At 40.7% G+C, this 20,790-nt stretch overlaps 1 protein-coding gene across 25 annotated transcripts in view; it reads right to left on the bottom strand.

Annotated features, from left to right (window-relative positions):
* STXBP6 (syntaxin binding protein 6) overlaps nucleotides 1-20,790 on the bottom strand; it is a 240,694-nt gene that overhangs the window by 171,310 nt on the left and 48,594 nt on the right. For 4 of the 25 annotated variants that reach the window (NM_001351940.3, XM_047431293.1, NM_001394411.1 and 1 more), the window contains one exon: nucleotides 7,123-7,209. The exons of 15 other annotated variants lie outside the window; for them this stretch is intronic. Coding sequence is in view for 1 of the 10 variants with exons in the window: in XM_047431293.1 (XP_047287249.1) it covers nucleotides 7,123-7,126 (4 nt within the window). In the remaining 9 variants the exon portion in view is untranslated. Of the gene's footprint in view, nucleotides 1-4,784; nucleotides 4,892-7,122; nucleotides 7,210-14,100; nucleotides 14,222-18,554; nucleotides 18,639-20,790 lie in introns of all 25 variants that reach the window. 6 more of the 25 variants (NM_001394415.1, XM_047431298.1, XM_047431294.1 and 3 more) reach the window with 4 other exon arrangements.

Raw genomic sequence — 20,790 nt, forward strand, 5'->3', positions numbered from 1 at the left:
AAGGAGCCAGAAACTTCTAAACATGAAAAATAATGGGGATATGAATAAAAACTAAAAACATTATCTGTTCTGCTAGAAAAATAGTTGAAGATAGGAAAAAAAATATCTTAAAGTAGAAACTCCAAACAAAAACTGCACATGAACATCACCTGGGTGCCCAGGTCCTGCTCACAGAGATTCAGGGGATCTGGGGCTAGGGCCTGCAACTTGTTTTCTGAATGACTTCTTCAGTTTATTCTGCTATACAACCAGGTCCAGAGCCACTATCTTTGGGTTTTCCCCCTGTATTTAATGAATTACTTATAAAACAAATAAAAAGACCCCAGAAACAAGTGTACATGGCAAATATTTTGTAAAGCCCTAGTAATGAATCATTGAAGTTTACATAGCACTTCATGATTTACAAAGTATTTCTATATCTAATCCCAAATGTGTAATCAAGAGAGCCACTGAATATATCTTCCAAAGTTTGCTTCAAAACTGTAAATTAGAATCTTCAGATATGTATGTGAGTATTTTTTTTTTTTGAGGCAGAGTCTCACTGTTGCCCAGGCTGGGGTGCAGTGGCACCATCTTGGCTCACTGCAACCTCTGTCTCCCAGGTTCAAGCAATTCTCCTGCCTCAGCCTCCTGAGTAGCTGGAATTACAAGTGTATGTCACCATGCCCGGCTAATTTTTGTATTTTAGTAGAGATGGGGTTTCACCATGTTGGCCAGGCTGGTTTCCAACTCCTGACCTCAAGTGATCCACCTGCCTCAGCCTCCCAAAGTGCTGGGATTACAGGTGCGTGCCCAGCCCAGATATGTGTTTTTATGAAGGGTAAACTATGTCATTTTTAACACACCCAATTGGTGCAAGGATTATGAGGAAGTGTTATAATTCCTCTCCAACAGAGATTAATATGAGTTGAAACCTTTTGAGCCAGCAACTCTACCATTAGAAAAAATGGTGTGAGCATGCACACACCATGTGTGTGTTACAGATGCATGTTTACCTCAGATCCATTTTTAAGAAAAAATCATCATAAACAACCTAAATACCCATCAATCTTCATTGGTTAAATACAGTATAGCCCATCCACCCAACAGAATATTACATATCCTTTTAAAATTGTGGCACAGACCTACAGATATTGACTTGGAAAAATTGCCAAGAAATAATACAGAGTGAAAACAAGGAGGTTATAAAACAGAAAATGAGCTCATGAATTTGCAATTTTATGTGTATATTTACATGCATAAAGAGATGTCTAGAAAATAGTTTGCCAAAACGTTAATATGATTATCTCTGGATTTTGAAACAAGGAAACAGGTCAGAGATTCTGCAGGACAGTCTTCGTACTCCACTAAAATCTCAGTGGAGTGCTCCTTGAAAATTGCGGTTTTAAGGCACATTCTTTCCACCAAACCTGGAAGACCTATCAAAATACATTTTATTGAGACCCAATTATAAGTTGACCATATTCTTTTTTCAACTCCAGTCCAGGCATAGTGTTGAGAACCCCAAAGTAAATTAGCAAACTCCCACCCTCAAAAAGCTGTGAGAAAGGAGAGCAAACGCTGTGAATAATGACAAGGCTTAGAAGATAACTTTGTAGGAAGAAAATGGTACCCTTCTTCTGTCCAATTGCAGCTCAATGCTGGAGCCTTCAACCTGGTGAACAGAGCACCAGCTACGCGTTAGCCTGCGCTTGCTCTCTTAGATGAATAACTCTGGAACAATGTAAAAACAACACAACCGTACACAACAGCCCTGGTCATACTGTTTAATTCTTTAAGGAAGGAAACGAGGAATTGCTTTTCTGCCATCAGACTGCCAAAGACTATGAGACCCGATTGGCTTTCTTTTCCCTGTACATACTAACTCTCCCTGTGTAAAAGACATTATGTTCACAGGATTCTCTGAGCCCATGACTCATGTCTGCTTCAACTATAAACCTAGATTATTTTCATCTCCTCTTTCCTTGTTTATATGTCCAGTATACACATTCTTCTTGTAAGTCTGATATCCAAAGAACAAACCCTGACCACAAGATCTGTGTTTACACAAGTTTATTTACATTGCGGGTGTACCTTTTAATCTTGTCAATTACTACATCCTAACTTTCACAAATGATATGACAAAGCCAAAAAATAACACCACCAACAAAAGCTACATAGGATATGTCATTTGGAGGATTTATTGAGGTAAGACGAAGATTTCATAAGCATCACTCATTCCAAGGGATTCTATTAATAGGAACTCCACATTCACAAGTTTAAATTCCAAGGACCAGTTAAGCCAGTTCTACAGTATCCATGTACCCTTTCTACAGTAATGGGTAGAAATAAAGAATCATAGTGAAGGCCAGGCTAGAATACACTCATTGGTGTATTATGGATACTGACGAGATTATCAATCTAAAACATAGAACAAACCTTGAAAAGTGAATTGAACCACATCAAAAGAGGAAGGTAGTAACAGAAAAAAATTAAAAAGAGCTCAACTTTTTGACATTCCCCTATTTTTACTGAGCAATCATGTCATTGTAGTATCCAACAACTAGTCAGCAAACTAAGAAAACAATATGTTGACTTGAGAACATCACTTACAGCAGACAGCACTGGAAATAGCCAAATCTATTCCAACCATGTTCAAATACAGGCAAAAGCCACATAAAGATTGACTTAACATGAAAATAAACATTTTAATTATCTGCTAGGTTCTGCACTACTTGCTGAATTAGTTTGTTTCTTTTGCTTACACTGAAGAAAAGACAGAAGGAAAAGCACTAAACCCATATATGAAAGGAAGTAAAAAGTTTGCATAGTAGGTCAGTTGTTTTCCCCTTAGAGGAGGGTATGATTGATAACAGAAATTGCAGATTTAAAAAGAAAACAAGAAGATGTGTCTACCATTAAAAATAAAGAAACAAACAGAAACATAAACTCTCCAGCAAGCATAACATGAGCTTTTTATATTAGATATTTGTTGACTCAAGCTTTAGGTAAATTTTAAGTTTTCTTGATTTAAGCTAATTCTATTTTGGAAAAGACTTAAAATATAACAGTGAAAAAATAATGAGCCTTTAAAGAAAGCCTCCATTTTTTAAGAGTTTGAAACCTATAAAAACCTAAAATACAGTTGAAACAAGTTTATATGCTTTCTAAAATTTTTTAAATCAGAGCAAAACTTCTTTAAAGTATTCTCTAAATCAAACATCAATTTTAAAACATTCCTTATTCATTGAGAGGCCAAGGTGGGTGGATCACGAGGTCAAGAGATCAAGATCATCCTGGCCAACATGATGAAACCCTGTCTCTAGTAAAAATACAAAAATTAGCCGGGCGTGGTGGCATGCACCTGTAGTCCCAGCTACTTGGGGGGCTGAGGCAGGAGAATCACTTGAACCCGGGAGGTGGAGGTTGCAGTGAGCCGAGATCGTGCGACTGCACTCCAGCCTGGCAACAGAGTGAGACTCTGTCTTAAAAAAACAAAAACAAAAACAAAGAAACCAAAGAAAAAGAAAAAAGAAACCTTCCTTATTTGAATCGCTGATTTGGAGAATATCACCACTTTACAATTTCTTGGAAGAGTTTGAGTAAGTTTTCTGTAATTGATATATCATCAGTGTTATACTCCAACATGACGTCTTCACAGCAGTGAGAGGCACAGAAGCAATGTGACACTCTGAGGAGCCATTTTACACATACCTACTCTGTTTAAAAGGCAAGACACTGTGCCCTTCAATGCCTCAATTTCCCAAATGAAATTTCCAGTGAGGTTTATGAACACTTCTGATCTCATTAAGGATCTGGCCAAGGACTGTAATTCCAACTTATCTGATCTCCCCAAGGGTCAACTTCACGAATTCATGCCAGTGTAGTACAATCTGAATGGTGATCGAAAGGCTTCCTTCTCAGCCTCCAAAAGCAATTTCCCCATCTGTCAGCTACCTCAAATTCTGACATAAGAGATGTATATACTTAGATATGTGACTTTGGTATTCAAAAAATCCTTATTAATATGCTTATACTCCGGGTGCAGAGACTTTTACAGATGAGGAAACTAAAGCTAATTGGTTAAGTAAATTGTCCTACATCACACAGCTCAAGGGCAGAGCAGGGACTTAAACCTAAGATGCATGACTCCAGAAGCCTTTGCTCTTTCTTACTATCTCATATTGAAGAAATGAGAAAGGTACGGAAAGGTGAGGCTGGAATGCATTCTAGGTAAAACAGGACAAATTCAACTGCTTTACACTTTTGCCTCTGGCCACATTTTCTGGTGTACAAGATACTGTTATCACCCTAGCCCAGCAGCTACAAAGATAACAAATCGAGCTGTAGTTTGAAGTCATTCTTTCTGGATATCTGTTCATCTTGTGTGTGCATATCATGCTGGTTCGTTGGCAAAGGAGTTGCACAGCCTTATTAGGATAGAGCTTGTTTTGATTCTACAAATAAAAATGGGAGTTGACAATACATTAGCAGAGAGATTCTGCAACAGATCTCTAACTCCATAAAGGGGACAATGCCTATGAAAGCCTCATCACAGCTGCTCACCACCATCATTTCGAGACCTGCAGTTTGCAACAGGAGTCAACTCCTGAGATCTTGGATGGCTGCCACAAGGCAGTTTTATGAGCCTTGCAGGCTACTTTCCAAACCGGAAAACGCTTAAATATGAAAGGCACATTTTCAAAGGTTTCTGCTGGTTCTCAAGGGAAGTCCTCTTCCACTTCCTTTGCTGTATTACCCCCACTCTGGCATTTCAAAAGCACAACTTGGACCCTCCCTGTTACCTTCCTGTTCCCACTTTTTCTGGGCCTTCTATCTTTTGCTGACAGTGCTTCAAGGAACCTTAGCTTCTCCAGCAGCAATGCCCTGAGTTTCACCAATTTCAAAGGCTCTGCAAGAAGAATTTCATCATTTTACTTTACGGAGAAGGATCTCAGCAAGATATTCACAAATAAGCTAACCAACCACATTATTTGACACCCTTTTGGGCCTTACACACCAGCAGCTTACACCTCAGTTAAAAAGTGTGGGCACAGCAGAAATGTGGCATTCTTAAGCTTAAAAGTTTAATGCCTGGAAGTGATCCTAGTGATGGTCTATCTCATCCAATTACCTCACTTAACACATAAGGAAACTGAAGTCCAGAGGGTGATTCCAAAGTCACACAACAGAAGAGTAGCAAAACCAATATTAGGGCTAAATATTGCTCTCGACTTTTTTAAGTAAAAAACAGAGAAACATGAAATGATAATGTAAATAGTAGAGCAGTGCCGAATTTGTGGAAGGTGAGAACAGGTGGTGTGTTGGGGGAATGATGATAACAGAGAAAGAGAAAACATGATTAATCACAGTGGGGACTCTTCTCAGATTAAATTTTTTTTCTTGGGAATTGGCTTGAAATTAAGTGCTGAACTAGAAAACCTCTAGCCCATAGAGTTCTAAACCTTAACTCTTGGCTATCACCTTTTTCCCCTTGAATTTTCACAGTTTGTTTTCTCATTTGGCTATTGAGGCCAAAAGCAATGATGGTCTGCCCAAGCGGAACAGCCCAGGATAGTCCAAGAAGCACAGACTAACTCTGGCCAAGCTCCAACCCACAGGCCTCTGTATTGACTCCAACTGAGCCCCTTCTACAGTCTCCAGGCTCTGAGCCACTGGCAGAAGAATACACCCTGGGAAAAGTCACATGTCCATTCTCGGTTTGGGAATTAATGTGCTGGTGTTGGTGGTCTCCTGAAAGCACACACTAACCATACCAGGAGCCTGGATCAGCTGTTGACAGGGTTTCTCAGTACCTATTCCAGGCCCTGGTAAACAACAGGGTGGGAAAATAGGAATCCGTCTAGCCCAGTTCTTGTCTTTGGAACTGCACCCTTCAGCCGCAGCACAAAAACACCACCAGGTGCCTGCAATCTGTAATCAGTGCTCTATTAAAACACTCTCAGAAACACTGGAATTATCCTGATTTCCACACACAGCTGCACAAGGTCCTGTTGGGTAACTGGAGAGTCTTTACAGGTTCACTTAAGCTACAAACTAGAATGCCTTGGTTAGGATTGAGCACATTCAATGGTGAAATCTCCATGTGAGTGGAATGGGTGGATAGGTGGTCATCTCTATTCTATGTCTTGAGATGTAACAGAATAGCCTACAAATCCAGGTCAGACTCAAAGTCCATATGCAAATTCAGGCTCTGCTCTATTCAATCAATTCCTCTGTCATTCAATGTCAACCCCTTTTTAATCAGCATGTTCCAGAAAATAACTAACTTCTGACCTAACTAGCTGTGCAGTGTTTGATAGGAAGGAAAAAAAAATCTATCAATTGAATACTACCCTAATATGAACTCAATTAACACTAGTACAAGCTTAATGGTACCACACACTAACACATTACAAAGACATTCAAACAAATGTGATCGGGATCACCATCCAAAAGCTGGGGGCCAAGGTACAGGAGTCACTTCTCCCCTGACTCGACCTGACAGATGTTGGATGGTGACAAGAAGTTTTTACATTTGTCATCACAGGACCTAGGTCTGAGCCTGTCTTTGCCTTTACTCAATGAATAATATTTGGGCAAAATCCTACATCTTTGAGACCTGCATCTTCACCTTTAAAGTAGGATAGTACCACCCACTTCCTAGGACTGTTGTGAAGGATGAAGAAGGAGGTTATGGAAATCAGCTCCCTGGGTCCAACTGCTCCCACCTGGGGTGTCCTGATTCTTGAAAAGCAGGCAAGCACATCAGCATGTCAGCTTCTTATTTGCAAAAGCATGTTCATCACAGAGTATTTTACAAAGCCTTTCCTCAAGTGCCATCCTATTTCATCTTCCACACTTGCGAGAGAGGTATGATTGTCTCTACTGACACATAAAGAGAAGGAATGGGTCTTCCTCCTCCAATCCCATATCATTTCCATTGCTACCCTCTGCCACTCCATAGGGAATGGCCAGCCTAAGCAGGAAGATAATGGCAAGAGCCAAGTCAAGTCTTTCCCACTGTGAGGTGTTGTTACCCAAGGGAGATGCAGAGTGGTGTGAACATATTCTTAAAAAGGAGAAAAACAAACAGAAAATGGACAAAGAGCAGAGCAAAGCTGGAATAAGATACACACTTACTCATTCAATATCACTGCATTGTCCTAACGCTGAGGATACTGAGGAGAAGAAGAGCAACAAAGTACTTTCCCTCATGGAGCTTACATTCTAGTGGGGAAGAAGAACAATCAACAAGTTAGCCAATCAATGCAGCAGCTGAGAAGAAATCAATATAGACAGGTCTTGTGTGTTCAGCAATTAGGCAAAGGAATAAAGAATAATAGTCACTGTCATTCAGCACCAACCACCAGATAGAGAAATCACATAATGCGGGGCCAAAGTGCTCCTAGACTTCTAAGAGGACATTCATCTGGCTTTGATGAATATTTCTGTCCCTAGTGCATACTGGTCCTTATTAACAGAGGTAACAAAGAAAATCCATCTAGGGGCAGGACCTATCCTTCTTCATTCAACAAACATTTAGTGAGTAATTACCACAACCTGGGCTCTGTGTAGGCTTGGAGATCACAGGCATTTCAGATATATTCAAAGAAAAAATTGTCTCGTTGAGGAGAAAGACAAGGAAAACAGGTAACCAACTACACAAAATTAAGACTCTGAAGTTGCTGCTTCACAGCAGCAGAAGGGGCAAGTACAGTTTAATCTTTCAGAGGCTGGTGATCAGGAGATACTTACTCTATTAAGCCTACCCTTGAAATGTAATTAAAAAAATTAATTAAGTCTGCCTGCATGGATTATGCAGGTAGATCTGCTTCAAGAAAAAGCCATGCAACATTTCAATAAGCTGTTAGCTCTGTGTGAGTGACCTAGAACATATGCCTGCTCCAGCCTCTGCTTCCACCTGGGTTCTGTGCAATGGGTGTGCCCTGAATTGCTTCAGCCGACGGAGACAGACAGCCCCCAATCCAAGGTGGAAAGCAGAGAATACTCTGCAGGGAACCATTTCTGCAAAGAACCTGAACCCTTGTAGAAGAGCAAGAAAAAATAAACGGTCATTGAGACACCACAGGAAAGAGGTGTCTGAGGCAAAGAGGTACTCTTCAAACGTCCATTTGGTACTAAGTGTTCTTGAAGTGGGAGAAGTAGGCAGAAAACTACTTTAAAAATGTTCATCCCCACCTACGTACAGAAGTTCACTGAAGTGGGAAGGAACAGGCCTGAGGTTACAAACGGAAAGTTTTGCAAGAATAAGTTTTCTTGGCTCATGTATATTTCTAAAAATATATACTTCATGTAAAACATATTTCCAGTTTCTCTTGAAAACTGGGAAGACCTGGCAACATTAGGCTCGCACCCCCCACCATCTCTACAACCTCCAAATCACCAGACCCCACTACTCCCTATTCCACCATCCAAACTGAGGCTGCCTCTCAGGTGACCATCATCCAGATTGTTCTATTTTTCTAATAACTGGCCTGTTTACTAATTCATTACTGTCTGGTTACTGAGGATACAGAAGCTGGTGTAGATACTAAATTAATTAGCATGATTGGGAAAGTTGTAAGAATATATTTTCAGAAAGGTAAAGCACAGTTTAAAAATAAAAAAGTACTGCCCAATGGGGCAGTAAAGCAGAGATCAAGAAATCGTCACAGCGATTTGGGGGAACTGAACTAAGGGCATCAAAATAAACAAAAAACAAGCCAAATATTCATATCACATAGTCATCTTAGAATTTTATAAAGACTTTATATTCTATCCCTCTCCCAATATGCCAGCTGCTCTGATAAAGTGCCACAAAGCAGGCTCTGAAGAAACAAATACCAAGAATGTGAAATGTGTGTTTGTGGGGAGGGGGATGGCAGTATGGTGCACGCCTAATGTATGAAGGTGAGGACTGTCTTCATGCTTAATTAAGATCCTCCAATTAACCTATTTCCCAGCATCTGGCCTCAGAATGCAAGCAAGGAGGCTGCCCATCACGAGTGTGGGCTCTGTTCTACTAGACAGAGCATATGTTGAGCCAGTGACCCAGGTATGACGTGTCTTTCTCACAGACAGACTGGGAGGTGTAGCCTTCTGCCCTTTCTTACATGAGTATTAAGATACGCCTCACCTTTATACGTTAAGCATGTACTGTGGTTACATGTGCCATGTAGTCCATGGGTTGCAGAATGGTTCAAATGGATCGTGACAGAACTAGAATTGTGACAGAGATCATTGAGAATTGTGGCTTCAGATGGAGACAATGGTTTTTAAATGGTCCCACAGTCAGCAAGAGCTGACTATGACTTTGGACACTTCCTGTTGGGGAAAGGTTAAGTGAATATGTGGTTTTACCTATAAGGATTGGCTTACATTGGAAGAGGAGATCTTTAGAACTGTGTGTAGGAAATGAGTTACGAGCCAGGCCGGGGAAGGGTCATGCCTCAGAATGTCTTGCTTCTCATCACTTTGTGCTTCTGAAGGAAGCTTCCAACTTCCTGATCTTATGCACCACATGGGTATGCTTCCCTGTTCCAAGCTGAGTAGGATGGGGAGAGTTGAGAAAGGCCCGACTTAGGAAGAATCAATCCAGCTACAATATGACCTTGCTTGAAAAGATAAGCTGCGCCGCGCGCAGTGGCTCACACCTGTAATCCCAGCACTTAGGAAGGCCGAGGTGGGTAGATCACCTGAGGTCAGGAGTGTGAGACCAACCTGACTAACATGGCAAAACCCCATCTCTACTAAAAATACAAAATTAGCCGGGCGTGATGGTGCAGGCCTGTAATCCCAGCTACTCAGGAGGCTGAGGCAGGAGAATTGCTTGAACCTGGGAGGCGGAGGTTGCAGTGAGTCGAGATCATGCCATTGCACTCCAGCCTGGACATGAGTGAATGAAACTCCATCTCAAAAAAAAAAAAAAAAAAAAGATAAGCTGGGTCAATTAGATCCTGAAAGAAAACAGAGCAATTAGTAGTGGGAGCTGAAGCTTTAAGGTCAGTTATGCAGAAAGAGGCTGAGAGAAGAAGGTTGATCACATACAAGCAAATGCCACAAAGAAAACTGGTCTGTAGGTTGAGGAAAGGGTGATGCAGATATGCAGAGAGAAGAGGAGGGAGAGAGAGGAAGAGGCAGAGAGGGGACAGGGAGAGGGAAGGGAGGGGAGAGGATGGAGGAGAGAGCAGAGGAGGAGAGAGCAGAGAGAGAAGAAAGGAGAGAGAGCATGAGAAAGGAGGAGAAGAGAAAAAGGAGAGTAGGAGGAGAGAGAAAGAGAAGAGAGACAGAAGAGAGAGGAGAGCAGACAGAAGACAGAGGAGAGGCAGCAGAGGAGAGAAGAGGAAAGCAGAGAGGGGGAAGAGAGAGGAGAAGGAGATGAGTGAGAGAAGGAGGAGGAAGAGAAAGAGGAGGAGAAGAGCAGAGAGAGAGGAGGAGGAGGAGGAGAGAGGAGAAAAGGAAGCATCCAGAACTTCTGCTCATCTAGTCATCCCCACTTCCAGTACATATGCAGGCTTATGAAAAACTCTTCTTTTCCTAAAGTAATTGGAATGACCTGCTATTACTTGCAACCAAAAGAACCAACAAAAGCAATGAATATTGTCAAAAAATTAAAATCTGCAAGTATGTGTCTTACTTTCTTTATTAATACAGTAGGCCTAACAGCTGCCCCAATCAGTTTATACAGGTCATTGAGAGAATGCAGATTAATGCGAATGTGTAATATGATGTTGTTAAGAGGTGTGGATAGTAAAATGACAGCCAATTCAGAGTCTTAAATACACAGAGAACTTTCATTGCCTGTTAGATGCTCAGTTCACTGAGCTTTTATCATCCCCAAGAGCAATATAAATCCAGTCAAAAGACATATTAATGCAAGATGACTTTTGTCTTTTACATAAGGGGAAAATCAACCAATTCAAGGTTATGATTCCCACAAATTCAAACCACACTAAATATGTCATCTAACAAAAGAAAGAAAAGGAAAGAATGCCTAGAAGACAAACTTTGGTGACAGATAAGTACATCTCTCAGAACTGCCTTTTCTCCATGACTGCACAGCCTGGAGGGCTTGCTTCTCACACAGGAATTCTGACTAGAGAGCGGTAGACGGCCCACCAAGCCTCACAGCCCCTACATCCACTCCCAGCTTGCATGTGGCAATATGGAACCCAGACACCTGGTGGCCCTCCTCCTAATACGACCATTCTCCTTCCTGCTGCTTCTCCCTGGGCTGGGCTACGTGCCACTCTTTTGCTCAACATTCCAACAGCTTTATCACTGTGCCAAGCACATTGTAGGGAACTGCAAGATTCTTCTTACCGGTCTGTTTTTCCAACCAGATTCTGAGCTACCGAAGAAACCCCAGCACCTAGCACAATAGCTAGGAAATAGCTCCATATTATGGAGCTGAAAAAGCATGTCTTCAATGCATAGATCCATCTTCCCCATCTTGTTCCACTTTCCTGGCCCTAGCCTTTCCTTTTAAAGGTACTACTTAGTCCCATAGTCACACTGAAAGAGACTGCTCTAACTACCCATGAGCTTTGCTTTCCCTTGGCTCTGCTGCCTCCTTACCACAAACAAGACCATGACCAATGCTGCAAAGGCACAGTCTACACTCCACATGGTCTCTAAATATCTCAAACAAATTTGAAGAAAAAATAAGTAGGAAAAAAAAAGGTCAAAGACACAAACTTACCAGCCGACATAAAACACCTAATGCAGGACCATAATCCAGGGGTCAGCAAATATAAAGGACCACTTAGTAAACATTTTAAGCTTTGCAGACCAGAGTTGGTATAGCTACTCAACTCTGCTGTGACAGTGTGAAAGCTGTCATAGACAAGACATAAATGAATGGACGTCACTGCGTTCTAGTAAAATTTTGTTTATAAAAACAAGTGGCCGACCCACAAGCTGGAGTTTGCTGACCCCTGGATTAATGTAATGCAATAAGCACCAATCAAGAACATATGTATGTGCGAAACATCAATGCTAGCTGCTGAGGCATATACAGCACAGCATCCCAGCCCTATATGATACTAGAGGAGAATCAACCATAAGTAACTCTGAAAAACAGGCAGACTTGATGAGTATGATAACAGAAGCACAAACAACACTGAACAGTCAACTTTAGAGCATCTGAACTGTTGACCATGACCACTTCTTCTAACATTCTTCCCTAGTTCTGGGACTCCACACACTCCGGTTTTCTTCCAACATCTCTGATCACTCTTTCACAGTTGCTGCTTGGAACTTTTCTCCACTGCTTGTATTCTTTCCTAAAATGTTGTTATGCCTCTTGGATCTAGCTTATGATCTCTTCTCTTTGCACTCTGTAGTCTCCTTTGGTGATCTCAGTCATTTCTAAGACTTCAAGTACCACCTACAGGCTGAAAACACATCACATCTATACCTTCAGCCCACATGTTCAGAATGAATTTCCACCTAGATGAGCCACAGGCACATCAAACTGAGTAGGTCCAAAACTGAATGAATCATCTTCCTCGAAACGGTTTCCAGTCCTATGTTCCTATCTCAGTAAACAGCACCACTATGCACCTAAATAAAAACTCAAGCTTTCTCAATCCCTCTCCCTCCTTTATTCTCACTGATCCCCATCCCTCACAGGAAATTACCAATTCTGTTCAACTCTACTTTCTAAATCCCTCCACATCTACCCGCTTCTCTTTCTTGCCATTGCTCTAAATCAAGATGCCATCATCTTCTGCCTAGATTACTACCAACATCCTCTGTACAATGAACCAGTGCCCAGTTTTGCCTCCTTCCAACCCACTTCCCACAGTACATAGGTAGAGTTACTTTTCTGAAATGCCTGGGGTAGATTATTTTCCAGCAGTCTGTCAGCCCAAGCCCACCCTCTGTATTCTGCTTTATGATATTGGGACTAGAAGTCTTCAAACCACATTTCCCAGACTCTTTTGCAACTGGAAGGCAGAGGTGGAGAGAAGAAACTCTCTTCCTGTTTTCCAGCTCCTGTCAGCCTGTACAGTAGCAGACAGCACCAGCTGCCCATGCTTTAAGTACTCTGTGTACCAGCCTTGGACCCTCCCTTGATAGTCTGAGTACCAGCAAGAAGGCAATCCTCCCCCAGAGATCCAAGTACCTCCTTAGCAATCAGCACATCAGCTCTGTGGTAGCCCCTATGAGTTTTCTTGGTTTAGCTAACATCACCCACTCCCTCTTGTCCCTCCCAGCTGCAGGGATGGCAGCTGCTTCCTGGAGTTACCAGTCTCTCTCTATGTATAGCCTCTGCTTCCACTATTTACATTTTCAGCCATCAAATATCCCAGGTCCCCAGTTCCCTATGTTAAATCACCTCAGGTAGTATCTGAAATACATACTTTGCTTCTCTCTTCTGACTGGACCCTGACTCATGAAGTACTTGGTACCAGGAGTAGTTCTGAAGAAAGAGACTCTAAAAATGGGATTGTGGGATTGATTTCTTACCTCCGACCTTTAACGGTGATGACCTTCTTGCCTCCATCTAATACATTCTGTACATGGCATCTACTGTGATTTTTCTAGAATGTCTGTCATCAACTTAATAGCTCACTAATGCCATCAGGAGAGTGGGTTTGATAAGGCTCTCAGGGTCCTAGAGCCACTATTTCTCTAACTTTTGTTCTTGACACTACTTCCTTCTCCCTCATGCACCAAGCTCAAACCACTCTGAATTTCCTTTCCACTCTTTCAATCCCTTCACAAAGCTATTTCCCCAGCCTTGTATATTGCCCCTAACCATCTCTGCTCCTCCAGTTAACTACTACTTGGCTTAGATAGCACTTTCTCCAAGAAGTCTTTCCAGATGTGTATCCAGCCTGAACTTCTTCCATTGTAGCAGTAATAATACTACCTGTTAACACTGTGTAGTTGCCCAATACTCCCCCATGAATCCATGAATTCTAGAAAGGCAGGTGGCTTACTCCATTCTGGTTGCTATTACAAAATTCTATATGGCCGAGTGTGGTGGCTCACGCCTTTAATCTCAGCACTTTGGGAGGCTGAGGCGGGCAGATCACCTGAGGTCAGGAGTTTGAGACCATCCTGAGCAACAGAGTAAAACCCTGTCTCTACCAAAAATATGAAAATTACCTGGGTGTGGTGGCTCACATCTGTTGTCCCAGCTACTTGGGAGGCTGAGGCAGGTGGGTCACTTGAGCCCGGGAGGCAGAGGCTGGAGTGAGCTGAGATCACGCCACTGCACTACTCTAGCCTAGGTGACAGAGTGAGACTCCATGTCAAAAAAAAAAAAAAAAAAACCACACACACAAAATTCCATAGACTAGGTAGCTTATAAACAACAAAAACTTATTTCTCACTTTTCGGGAGGCTAAGAAGTCCAAGATCAAGGCATCAGCAGATTTGCTGTCTGACAAAGACCCATTTCCTACTTCATAGATGGTGCCTTGTAGCTGTGTACTCACATGGTAGAAGGAACAAGGCAGTTCTCTGGGGCCTCTTTTATAAGGATAATAATCACATTCACAAGAAATCTGCCCTCGTGACCTAGTCACTTCCCAAAGGCCCCACTTTCTGCAACCATCATATTAGCGATTAGATTCAGCATACGAATTTTGGGGGCATATTCAGACCACAGCAGCAGGAACTATGTTTATCTTGCTCACAGTTTTAATTCCACAGAGCAAGTGCTCAATAATAGTTTTTTTTTTGCATGAATGGATGAACCCATAAATGAGAATGTATAGATTAATTCCTACTAGGGAGATTTGGAAATACTTCTTAAAGAAGGTGGGATTTTTTGCAGTGAGCCACTAGACCCAATCTTCAGCACAGCAGAAATTTTAAAGAAAATAGCATTATTCTTACCTTCTATGGACTTCCTAACAAAACTGGTAAAAATATTTTTCTTTTAAGGGTATCCAAATTATCCTAGCTCCTAGAAAATAAACTTCTTGGAAATAAAACTTCTATCTCTGGGATTCATTCATGGGCCAAGCACATGAACAAAAAAAACTACCTTAGAAACATAGTAACTAAATACCCTTGAATGTTTACCAGCCCATATCTTTCCCTTTTAGAGGACTAGTCTAATTCAATGTCTGTTCTAAAGTAAGCTGTGTACTGAGATCCCAGTAAACTTACTTTATTACTGTCTTTTCACAAACCTTACACACCAGATTTTAGAAACTGTATATTACAAATCTGAACACTGCTTTCAGAACTCAAATGGAAAGAAAAGTGCATCAATTAGGTAAAAATCTTTATGTTGATCTATATATGTAGATTTACTATATAAATTGTAGAGGGGATTCCATATTTGGAACTCATTCTCCCCCTCCCCACCCCAAGTAGTTGAAATAATAAAAGAAATGGCTGAATTTTCTTGTAGTTTTATAACTTCATGGGTAAAAGTAATAAACCTACATATATTTTGTTGATCAAAATATAATGTATACCTTCCATACATTAAATGTACTTATGAATTGAATTCTAGACAAAAGCTCCTAGATTAATTTTTTAATGCTTCTTGGCTATTTACTATACTTATTTGTGCTGAGTAGATCATAACGTTTTGTGGCTCAAGGTTTTAGTCCTTAGGAATTTCTTCCTCACACCAAATTCCTTGGTAAACTTGCAACTGTCAACCTAACTGGGCTTCCTATACCTGAACCTCTCAGCTTTGTTCTCCTCTGCTATTGCCCTAGAAGCTCATTAAAAACAATAATTCACAAAATCACTTCTCCAGTAAGTTTCAGTTAAATTTCAACTGTCTTATTCTTGACATCACACAGGGCCTCTTTGCTTCTCTCCTTAAAAAAAATAAAAAATTAAAAATAAAATTAAAAAAAAGGCTCAAGCCTGTAATCCCAGCACTTTGGGAGGCTGAGGCAGGTGGATCAACTGAGGTCGCCAGTTTGAGACCAGCCTGACCAACATGGAGAAACCCCGTCTCTACTAAAAAAAATTATAAAATTAGCCAGGCATGGTGGCACGTGCCTGTGATCCCAGCTACTTGGAAGGCTGAGGCAGGAGAATCGCTTGAACCCGGGAGACAGAGGCTGCGGTGAGCCAAGATCGCGCCATTGTACTTCAGCCTGGGCAACAAGAGAGAAATGAGTGAAACTCTGTCTCAAAAAAAAAAAAAAAAAAAAAAGAGAAGGGAACGCAGGGGAGAGGGAAATTTTGGTACCAAGACTTAGCTCCAGAGCATACAAAGACACAAGAATGAATTGAAATACACCCTTCCTGGGAAATGACAGCTAAAGAAAGAAAGGGAAAAAAGTAAAAGCATATGACGCCACTAATCTAGTTCAACCTCTCATTTTACAGATTAAGTAACTGACGTCCAGAGGGAAAGTGACTTTATGGAGATTCACACAGCATGCATATGTCAGACTCAGGAAGGGGCAATTTCCTGACTCACAGGCCAGAATCCTGTCTTCTCTTTTCTATGTGCGTAGCCCTCACCATTTCCCCAACAACAACACTCACATACGCAGGTGCTCATGAACTGAAGCCAAGTCAACCTTCTTGTACTTCCAAAACTCAAACCTGACACCATCATCCAGGCCTTTACTCTCTCATGCTCCCTCTGCCATCTATTCAACCATCAAATACCAAATCAAGCATCACATTTTTCAAGGTTCAGTTCAAACCTCTTCTATGGCAGCTTTCTTATTCTCTTTCATGCCCAATTCCTACTCAATCAAACGAATCCTTATTCCTACTGAATATTTTGCAACTTCTATCAGTACCCATGGATACTACTGTATGTATTTGTTTCCCTGTGTTTATTGACTAAGCCATAAACTCCTAGTGCTCAGTATCAAGTCTTATCATGCACCTTTGTATCCCCAATCCAGAGCTAAGCGCCCTACTCCTAAAGAGCACTGAATAAGTATTTTAAAATATTTATAATTCTTTTGGTTATATAAGCAATACAAAAATGCACAAAGTAGAAAATAAAAGGCTGCTGTAAATCCACCCTTCAGAGATAACTATTGTTAACAGCATGCCGTACAATCTCCTAGACTTCTTCCTATGAATATATAATTCACACATATGGAAAATTCAATGGAACATTATTAAGTACAACTTTTCTTTTTACCTGAAAAAATTATATATATTATATAGCTTGTGTGTATATAAAAAGAGAGAACATATCCTATTTTTAAAAACTATATTTCTTTATACAAATATGTCATATTTTACTTGACCATTTTCCTATTAGTGGATATTCACACTCTTTCCAATTTTTCAATGGTAAAAAATATAACCACCATTGTGCATCTGTGCAAATATTCTTGTAGAAGTTGTTAGAAATTGATACATATTTAAAATGTTGATAGATATGTCCAATATTCTTCCAAAATGTACTAATTTTAATTAACCCTCTACCCCTAGTGTGTAAGACTGCATTTTTTCTGTCCAATACTAGGTATTATCAGTTGTACTAGTTGTTGCCAATCTGATAAATGAAAAATGGCATGTTATTAAAATGTGCATTTCTTGGGTTATTATGTTGATTGTCTTTGTATATGGTTGTCTAGGAAGTGGGAAGGGGTTATTTTAAGCAAAAAAGTAATTTTTTCAATAAAGTCAAAATAATATATTCTTACGCATATATTCTTATGCATTAATTAGAGATGAAAAGTCTGAACTTCGGTGTTTTTGTTTACTGGCTGAGCTAAAGATTACAGAAATATTGGAAATAAAAGAAAAACTGCCCACTGATAGCTGGAGAAATCTCAGATCAAGTTCAGGGAATAACAAAAGCTCTTTCAATCAAATTACATGTTACTAGAGAATGACTACTACTTGAATAGAGAGCATGACCTCTTGTGTAGGACTCTTTTACAGGAGGTAAAAAAAACAAAGCTCAGCTACTTTGGCCCAACTGTTAGAACTCATAAATTTGTACATATCAATCTGAATTTACTGAACACCTACCGCAGGCTTGGCAGACACTGAAGATGTAAGTGTTACTACGATCCAGGCCCTAACCTAGAGGAAGTTGCCTTTTTTGTGTTTGTTTTGAAAGGAAACTATTTGGGTAATATTATTTTACCATACATAAAAACTTCAATGAATTCTCCTTAAAAAATCAATAGTCTGTCTTCAATATTCAAGGGATAAAAAGCTAAACCTTGGCCATTTCCAAGAAATTGACAAAAATACTATTCTTATGGGAGAAAATAATGCCTTCAACCTTAACTACGTATATTCCTTGCTCTCAAACCAGTGAACACATATCCCTTCAAGTTACGTATTATATACATATATACATACATTTTTATAATTAATATACAGATGCTGAACTTACAATGAAGTTATGGTCCAATAAACCAACTGTAAGTTAAAAATACAGTAAGTTGAACATGCATTTAACACCCCAATAAACCCATTGTACAGCTGAAAAACTGTTAGTCAAACCATCATAAGTCAGGGATTGTCTGTGTACATTCCTCACTATACCATAATACCCCAAAAAACCACCCTTAGGCGTATCTTATTCAGACTGCAGAAAACCAAGAAGGAAGTGAAAATCTATAAAGAAGCCAGAAGGAAAAGAATATCCTACTTACAGAGGAACACGAGAGCAATTGACAGCAGAGTGCTCACCAGAAACCATGCAAGTAAGAGAAGCATGGAGTGCGATCTTCAGAGTGCTGAAAGAAAAGAACTTTTTCATTCAAACCAACAACATGTATTGATTGTCCATGCTATTATCTAGGATATAAAAAAAGATAGACTAAAACATGAATGCTGCTCTAAAGAAGCTCACAGATGGGCTATGAAAGAAACTGTAATGGGATGGCGTATTATGTGACATTAGCAGATATGAATACAATGTTACGGGAATCCAAAGGGATTAGGTCTGATGTGTGGGTAGAATGGTCACAGGAGGTGACATCTGAAGACTATAGAAGGTACAACTTTTTGGGGGTGCCACTACCCCCAAAAGACTTCAGTTTAAAAACAGAGGATTATAGCTGAAAGAGTTGCAATATATAGACAGTCTCCTCGGAGCAGTATCAGAAAAGCCCAAAGCCCAGAGGGGAGACAAAAACAAGTTCACAGGAGTAAACTGAAGCCTCTAATACCTCTAGCTACAACAAATCATAAACACAACACAGATCCTAGCAGGAAGAATAGTGTTATGTGCCCGTGTCTGTAAGGACAACACTGATTTAGCTATTTGGACAAAGATGCTAATATGTTAGGTTGTTTTGGTTACAAATTATACGAGTTTTTCCGCTTATAATCCCTGGGGACATCACCATATTGGCCTGAGATAATTTATTTAAAGTTTTGTAGGACACGCTTCAAATAATTTTTTTTTTTTTTGAGACGGAGTCTTGCTCTACCACCCAGGCTGGAGTGCAGTGGCAGGATCTCGGCTCACTGCAAGCTCCACCTCCTAGGCTCACGCCATTCTCCTGCCTCAGCCTCAGTAGTAGCTGGGACTACAGGCGCCTGCCACCACGCCTGGCTAATTTTTTTGTATTTTTAGTAGAGACGGGGTTTCACCATGTTAGCCAGGATGGTCTCGATCTCCTGACCTCGTGATACGCCCGCCTCGGCCTCCCAAAATGCTGGGATTACAGGTGTGAGCCACCGTGCCTGGCCTTTTTTTTTTTTTGAAATGTTAGGACTGGGTTAGGCTCTGGCAGTTTATAGTCTATGATTTGCCAATGGCTGGGACTTGGAAAACAATACCCCAAAATGAAGGCCTCAGAAGCAAAAGTTTCTCTGTGACCTCCTCCTGCCCTCCTGTCTTCTGGTCCCATTCTGCCCCTAGGCTAGCCATAGAAACTGAAATTTCTCTTCCCTACGGGAAGTCATTAAAACCAGAACCTTCTTCCCTACAGCCACCCAAAAAACCTATAACTCTAACTTCCCCTCTGCATTTCTGTGTAAAACTGACCATAAAGAAATTATCTTTAGTCAGTTTTACACAGAAATGCAGAGGGAAAGTTAGAGTTTAACATAGGACACAAGACCCCCATTCCAGAGAGAACCCTGCCCCACACCGAGAAGGAAGGAATGCATGATCAGAGAGGCCAAGAAGAATCCAGACAGCCAGGCCTTGCTGAGTTTCCCTACTCAACCTGTTAGCATTAGATCTTACCCTTTTTGTCCAGTTTTATTTTACTACAGCTGTCCATACTTTGTTGAACCTAAGCACAGAAATGGACAATTTCCCCTCTATCTTTGGGTCTTCATTTGGAAGGCTCCTGCTTGTTCACGATAAATAAACTTGGATGCTTTTTCTCCAATTTATCTGCTTTTGTGAATTGATTTTTCAGTGAACCTTCAGAGGAAAAAGGGGAAATGTCCCCTTTACCTCTGCATAACCATGGGAAGAATGTAAAGACGGAGGCTTTTTCTCTTGGAACAACAAATATTTGAATGTCTGTCTTTTTGCCTCTGCCTTTGATGATTAGATCCTTCTCAACAAGGACTTACTGAGTGATTAATGTGCTGAGTAGAATGCAAGGAGACTTAAGGTCCTTGCCTTAAAATAGCTCACCATCTAATGCATAAGACTCACAAGAATTCATACATACAGGGCATTCTGACTATACAGTCCCTGGCATAGATCTCCTAAAACCTGTGGCATTTCCTGAGTGATAGGAGTAGCTTTTAAAATTCATAACAAATCACTTTCAACCATACCAGAGTTTATGCTAACAAGATGACTCTTTTGGGTCCCTAGATAGCTTCAGAATAGGGGTTGGTTGCCAGAAGGACCAAGGCATGATTAGAGGGTTGGAACTTTCAGCTCCACCATTCTTCATTTCGGTAACTGTGGTTTTT

This window comes from Homo sapiens, chromosome 14 (assembly GCF_000001405.40).
Source record: "Homo sapiens chromosome 14, GRCh38.p14 Primary Assembly".
Taxonomy (NCBI): Eukaryota; Metazoa; Chordata; class Mammalia; order Primates; family Hominidae; genus Homo; species Homo sapiens.